Source organism: Homo sapiens, chromosome 11 (genome assembly GCF_000001405.40).
Source record: "Homo sapiens chromosome 11, GRCh38.p14 Primary Assembly".
Taxonomy (NCBI): Eukaryota; Metazoa; Chordata; class Mammalia; order Primates; family Hominidae; genus Homo; species Homo sapiens.
The window spans coordinates 57,290,818-57,297,897 of NC_000011.10; the positions used below are offsets into that span (position 1 = coordinate 57,290,818).

At 46.6% G+C, this 7,080-nt stretch overlaps 1 annotated feature.

The window, feature by feature from the left end:
- Positions 5,564-5,764: a silencer, noted in NCBI's record as "peak1278 fragment used in MPRA reporter construct". NCBI's record gives its function as "represses an SCP1 promoter by STARR-seq MPRAs in K562 erythroleukemia cells {active_cell/tissue: K562}" and the evidence as "EXISTENCE:reporter gene assay evidence [ECO:0000049][PMID:32103011]".

Below are 7,080 nucleotides of genomic sequence, written 5' to 3' on the forward strand. Positions count from 1 at the left end.
GTGATATGTGTCTCTGTGCTAAAATTGCCAAAAATAAGAAAATTAAAGTAACGAGGCTAGAAAACCCAGATCCCAGCTCCTGGCAAAATTGAAGGGTGTCAAGAATTAACAAGTTGAGACTGGGCGCGTGGTGGCTCATGGCTGTAATCCCAGCACTTTGGGAGGCCGAGGTGGGCAGATCACTTGAGGTCAAGAGTTCGAGACAGGACTGGCCAACATGATGAAACCCTGTCTCTACTAAAAATACAAAAATTGACCGGGCATGGTGGCGGGTGCCTGTAATCCCAGCTACGAGGGAGGCTGAGGCATGAGAATCACACCTGGGAGATGGAGGTTGCAGCGAGCCAAGATTGCGCCACTGTACTCCAGCCTGGGCGATAGAGAGAGTCTATATCTCAATAAAAAAAAAAAGAATTAAGTTGACTTTCAAACTGCAAGAGTCGAAAAAAAAAAAAGAGAGAAAACAAGTGCCTAGTGAAATTTTGCTTTCAAGATGGTGTAGACAAAGGGATGGATTTAGATTGAAGTAAATATATGAAAATTCTAGTAATTAGCGATTCCTTCTGAAGAGTGTGGTATGGAAAGGGAAGGAAAGAATAACCTTGCAGTGGAGAAATTCAACAAGCGCTACTCCAGCCAGCTGGCCAAGGTTAAAGTTACCGGTGATAAATCACATTGATATGATAGACGTATCATAGATAGATGGCACTTTACCTCTAACTTCCAAAAATTCATGTACCCAGTCTAATCATGAGAAAAGTATCAGACGGACTCAAATGGAAGGACATGCTACAAAATACCTGACCAAAACGTCTCAAAAACTATCAAGTTCTTCAAAAAACAAGCCTGAGAAACTGTCCCAATCTAAAGGAATCTAAGGAGATAGGATGACTAAATGTATTGTAGTATCCTGAATAGGATCCTGGAGCAGAAATAAGAAATGAGGTAGAAAGTAAGGAAATGTGAATAAAGTATGGACTGTGGTCAACAATACTGTATCAATATTGCTTCATTCGTTGTTGACAAATGTGCCATACTAATGTAAGCGATTAACATTAGGGGAAACTAGGGGTGAAGTACAGGAGAACTCTCTGTACCATCATTTCAGCTTTTCTGTAAATCTAAATCTATTCTAAAAAAGAGTATTGGCTTTCAAAATGCTAGTAGTTGATCTGGTGGTGAGATTACAGACAATTTCTTTTCTTAGTTTTATTTGTCTGTATATTTTTAATTTTTCTTCTTTTTGAGACAGGGTCTGTCTGTGTTGCCAAGGCTGGAGTGCAGTGGCTATTCACAGGCTCGATCATAGCATACAACAGCCTCCAACTCCTGGGCTCAAGCAAGTAAACTGAGTCTGTAGCTGGGTCTGCATTTTTCAAATGGTCTATGAGGAATACTTACTGCTTTTGACATCAGAAAAAAAATTCAATGAACATTACTTTTTAAAAAAATGAATAGATGTTAGGCTCTTTGGAGACAGTACTATATACATAAAAGTATAACTAGAATCGTCCTTGGACAGCAACTAAAACCCATTTTATCGGCCGGGCGTGGTGGCTCACACCTGTAATCCCAGCACTTTGGGAGGCCAAGGCGGGCAGATCACTTGAGGTCAGAAGTTCAAGACCAGCCTGACCAACATAGTGAAACCCCATCTCTACTAAAAATACAAAAATTAGCTGGGCATGGTGGTGGGTGCCTGTAATCCCAGCTACTCAGGAGGCCGAGGCAGGAGAATCTCGTGAACCCAGGAGGCGAAGGTTGCAGTGAGCCAAGATCGTGCCATTGCACTCCAGCCTGGGCAAAAGGAGTGAAACCATGTCTCAAAAAAAAAGGCCAGGCGCAGTGGCTCATGCCTGTAATCCCAGCATTCTGGGAGGCTGAGGTGGGAGGATCACAAGGTCAGGAGATTGAGACCATCCTGGCTAACGCAGTAAAACCCCATCTCTACTAAAAATACAAAAAATTACAATTAGCTAGGCGTGGTGGTGGGCACCTGTAGTCCCAGCTACTCGGGAGGCTGAGGCAGGAGAATGGTGTGAACCTGGGAGGCGGAGCTTGCAGTGAGCAGAGAGCACGCCACTGCACTCCAGCCTGCGCAACAGAGCCAGACTCCGTCTTAAAACAAAACAAACAAAAAACAAAAAAACACCTTATCGCTCTGCACCCAGGGCCTGGCACTCTCCCCGGGGGAGGGCGGTGTGCTTCTGAACCTGCCAGCATTTTTTCTATCTATGATACACTTGCTGACAGAGGTCAAAGGGCTATCCTGGGTAAGCCCACACTGCTGGCTCAAGAGGCCCCAGGCAAATCAGCCCCAGGAAAATCTCGTCCATCAGCTTCTAGGCCAAGCCTCAGCCTGCTCTGTGTCATCAGTCTGGGAGGCAGGAAGACTGCAAAGGGTTCTCAGTTCACCATACGAACAAAAGACAAGACGAGACTCGCCAGGAATGTGTGGTTTGTCCCAGGCACTTTGTCCTGCATCCAGACCTCAAGCAGTCAGATAAAGCTGATTCTTTATTTTTGCACTTCTTTTAAAGCTCAGGCTCAGAGAGAGAGTCCCCAGCTCACAAGAGTCAGAAGCAGGATATAAACTCTGATCTACTCACTCCAGAGCTGCCCGCAAGAAGGACACCTGTCTCTACCCATCTCGGGAATGTGCCATGACCACAGCAGATGGCTGGACTACGTTTAGGAGACAGGATGCTGGAGAAAGGAAGTGTCAAGCAGTGGGCAGCACCCTTCAGACCTCCCCTGACACCAACCACCACCACCCCAATACTGAGGGCTCCATGGACAAAGGCCAGCTCGTTCTTGGGCCCAAACACCAGTTGCAGCTCCTGGATCCTGGGAAACGTGGGAGAGCACCAGTGACTGCTCCCTGGGCTCCACTGCTGTTCCATTCCCAAGGGCATCCTCCATCATCCTGGTGTCCAATTCCTAGGCAGACAGGCCCTCCCCTTGCTGAGGACCTCCAAAGCAGGGGCCAGGAGAGAGACGGTGCTGAGACATTTCTCACTGTAATTGCATTGGGACCAGATCCTTTCTCTCTCTGAGAGTTGGCAACAAGAACCCCCTGGGAGGAACAACAACTCAGCTTTCTAACAGGTAGCCTTCTTTTTTTTTTTTTTTTTTTTTTGAGATGGAGTCTCAGTCTGTCGCCCAACCTGGCATGATCTTGGCTCACTGCAACCTCTGCCTCAAGCAATTCTCTCACCTCAGCCTCTGGAGTAGCTAGGATTACAGGCGCACGTCACCATGCCTAGCTAATTTTTGTATTTTTAGTAGAGATGGGGTTTCATCATGTTGGCCAGGCTGGTCTCGAACTCCTGACCTCAACTGATCCACCCGCCTTGGCCTCCCAAAGTGCGGGTAGTACAGGTGTGAGCCACCGTGCCCGGCCACAGGTAGCCTCTCTAAAAGGCCTTTTTTTTTTTTTTTTTAATACAAACACTGAGATGTTGGCTTCAAAGTGGTCCCCTGAAAGGCTGTCCAGTTATTCTAGTGACTTCTCCAGAGCTCATTCAACTCTTCAGAAATTGCCTTCAGGGCAACCTTTGACCAAAATTGGTCAACCTGCTTGATTGTCCAAAGTATTCCCCAATACGGGTAGCCAAAGAACTTTCAGCTATTTCCAAAATCCAAATCCAGGTTCAAAAGACCAAGACCTGCCCCTCTGAGGCTGCTCCCGAGAACCCTGGGCATAGTCTGAGAAAGGGCTGCATGGCAGACATATCATTACTTTCTCAGTTGTGTTATTGGTCAGACACCTGCCTTTAGGGTCAAAGCTTGTGTGTGTTGGCTTCCTCTCTCCCTGACTCCCAACAAAGGCTCTGAACCATTCCCCAGATGTTGGCAGAGTGTGAGACACCCTCCTCTGACTTCCCTAGAAGCATGGCCCCCTGCCTCTTCTCCCTCCCAGCACAGAGCCCCTGTGCTGGGATCAGCCCAGGCTCCATTTGTTCCTCTAATGAGTCTTAAGTATTTGGCTTGGGCTCCTGCCAGTCCTACTCCTACAGAGAGGAGGGAGTGGGAAGAATGGGACAAAGCTCATGCCAGCTCAGTTCTGCTGGGCCCTGGGCAGACTGGCACAGGGGCTGCCTGGCCCAGACCCACCCAGGGGTGCAGCCAGGAACCCATTTGAGGCCCACAGCCTTTCTTTACCCTCCACTTCAGGGGCTTCCCACAGTGCAGATTCCTGGGCATACTTCCTGGGTTGGAATCCTGGGGTGAGGCTCAGGAATGTGCATTTTTAATAAGCACCTCAGGAGATTGTGATGCATAATGAAGATTAAAAACCAGTGTTCCAGAAAGTCAATGACAGGGATTCAGGCTGGCTGGTGAAATTGTGTATATGTGCATTTTTCTAGAGTCCACAGTTGTCAAATTCTCACATTAGGTCAATAGTCCCCATAACCCTTTAAAAGTTTTTTAAAAACAAGCCCGATGTGGTAGCTCACAGCCTATAATCCCAGCATTTTGGGAGGTAGAGACAGAAGGATAGCTTGAGGCCAGAAGTTCAAGACCAGCCTGGGCAACATAGCAAGACCCCATCTCTACAGATAATTTAAAAAAATAATAACTTAGCTGGGCATGGTGACACATACCTGTAGTCCCAGCTACTCAAGAGGCTGAGGCTCAAGGATCACTTGAACCCAGGAGCTTGAGGCTGCTGCAGTGAGCCATGATCATGCTACAGCACTCCAGCCTGGGTGACAGTGCAAGAGGCCATCTCTAAAAAAAATTAAAAATTAAAACAAAAGGCTAAGAAGCACTAGTAAATGAGATGATTCCTAAGTTCAGTTGTAGCTCTGACCTGCCACAACTTGGTGACCCTGTTCAGGCCCCCATCAGGGCAAGCCCCCAGGATGCTCTCCTTTTACCAAATCTCAGAGAAAGACAAGGCTGGCCTTGAAAAAGGCTGGCAAGTCTGGGGGAAACCAGGATGACATAGAACTAGGCTGAGGGACAATAGGATGGCAATGGCCATGGGCTTGGGTGAGAAATGACACAGGTTAGGGGAAATTCTAGAATACCTGGGCTGAAAGGACCCTTAGATATCAATGAAGGCAAACCTCTGGCAAGAGGGGTAAATTTTTACCAATGTCAGGTCCTCTCTCTCTGGCCACATAGCTAAACCTCATTTCTCACTCCCCTGCAGTTGGCGGAGGTAATGAGTTGAATTCTGCCCAGTGGAATGTGGATCTCTGCTATGGTCTGGATGTTTGTGTCTCCCCAAAATCCTAGCCCCTAAGGTGATAGGTTTAGGAAGTGGAGCCTTTTGGGAGGTAATTAGGTCATGAAGGTGGAACCCTCATGAATGGGATTAGTGTCCTTACAAAAGAGACCCCAGAGAGCTCCCTTGCCCTTTCCACCATATGACAGTGAGAAGGCACTATCTATGAACAGGATGGGTGATATGGTTTGGCTCTGTGTCCCCACCCAAATCTCATCTTGAATTGTACTCCCATAATTCCCACATGTTGTGAAAGGGACTCAGTGGGAAGTAATTGCATCATGGGGGCAGTTTCTCCCATACAGTTCTCGTGGTAGTGAATAAGTCTCACGAGATCTGATGGTTTGATAAGGAGAAACCCGCTTTGCTTGATTCTCATTCTCTTCTCTTGTCTGCACCATGTGAGACATGCCTTTCACCTTCTGCCATGATTGTGAAATCTCCCCAGCCACATGGAACTATAAGTCCAACAAACCTTTCTTTTGTAAATTGCTCAGTCTCAGGTATGTCTTTATCAGCAGTGTGAGAACAGACTAATATAATGGGTTCATATGAAAAGGCCCTCACCAGACATCAAATCTGCCAGTGCCTTGATTTTGGACCTCCAAGCCTCCAGAACTATGGGAAATAAATGTTTGTTGTTTGTAAGCCACCCAGTTTAAGGTAGTTTGTTAGAGCAGCCCAAATGGACTAACAACAGAAAATGTGTATCAAGAAGTAGGGTGCGGCTATAACAAATATCTAAAATGTGGAAGAGGCTTTGGAATTGGGTAATGAGTAGAAGCTGGAAGAATTTTGAGATGAATGCTAGAAAAAAAAATCTACATTGCCATAAACAGACTATTAAAGGTGATTCTGGTAAGGTCTCAGAAAAGGGGTGCTATAGAGAGAGCCTCAATCTTCTTAGAGATCACCCAAGTGGTCATCAGAATGTTGGTAGAAATACAGATGGTAAGGGCTGTTCTGATGGGGTCTTAGATGAAAATGAGGAACATCTTATTGAAAACTGGAGGAGAGATGACCCTTGTTAAAAAGTGGCAAAGACATTTGGCTTTTGTTCATGTCCTACTGTTTTGTGGAAGGTAGAACTTGTGAGCAATGAAATAGGATATTTGGCTGAAGAAATTTCCAAGCAAAGTAATGAAGGTGCAACTTGGCTCTTCTTAAATGCTTATAGTAAAATGCAAGAAGACAAACTCTAAAGATGGAATTTTTCATCAAAAGAGAAGCAGAACTTAAAGATTAGGAAACGTCTCAGCCTATTTATATTGTAAAAAATGAGAAAGTGTGCTCAGGCATTTGCTACAGAGACTAGCATGAATCAGACACGCACTATTCTTCAAGACAATAGAAAAATGGCCCCAAAGGCATTTCAGAGATTATAGGGGCTGCCCCTTCCATCACAGGCCTAGAGTGCCAGGGCCTAAGGAACAGAATGATTTCAAAAGAGGAGCCACAGGCCCTCAGTGCTCACTGTCCAGCATCACCTCAAGGCTCTGCTCCCTGCATTTCAGTGTAGTCCTCCTCACCATCCCAAGTTCAGCTCCAGTGCCCACCCTCCTCCCACCCCTAAAGGACATAGGTGGTAAATTTTGGTGGCATCCGCATGATGCCATCTCAGCCAGTACACAGAGTATATGTACTGTGGGGACATGGTTACCTTCACCTAGATTTCAAAGATGCTCCAGAGAGTGTAAGGGGCCAGCCAAAGAACCACCGCACGGGCAGGGCCACTGTAGAAAGCCCCAACAAGGGCAATGCCCAGGGGAGCCACGGAAGTAGGGCTACCTTACAACCCAGACCAGTGGGGCCACCAGTGTGTGATCCCAGCCCAAGATAGCTAC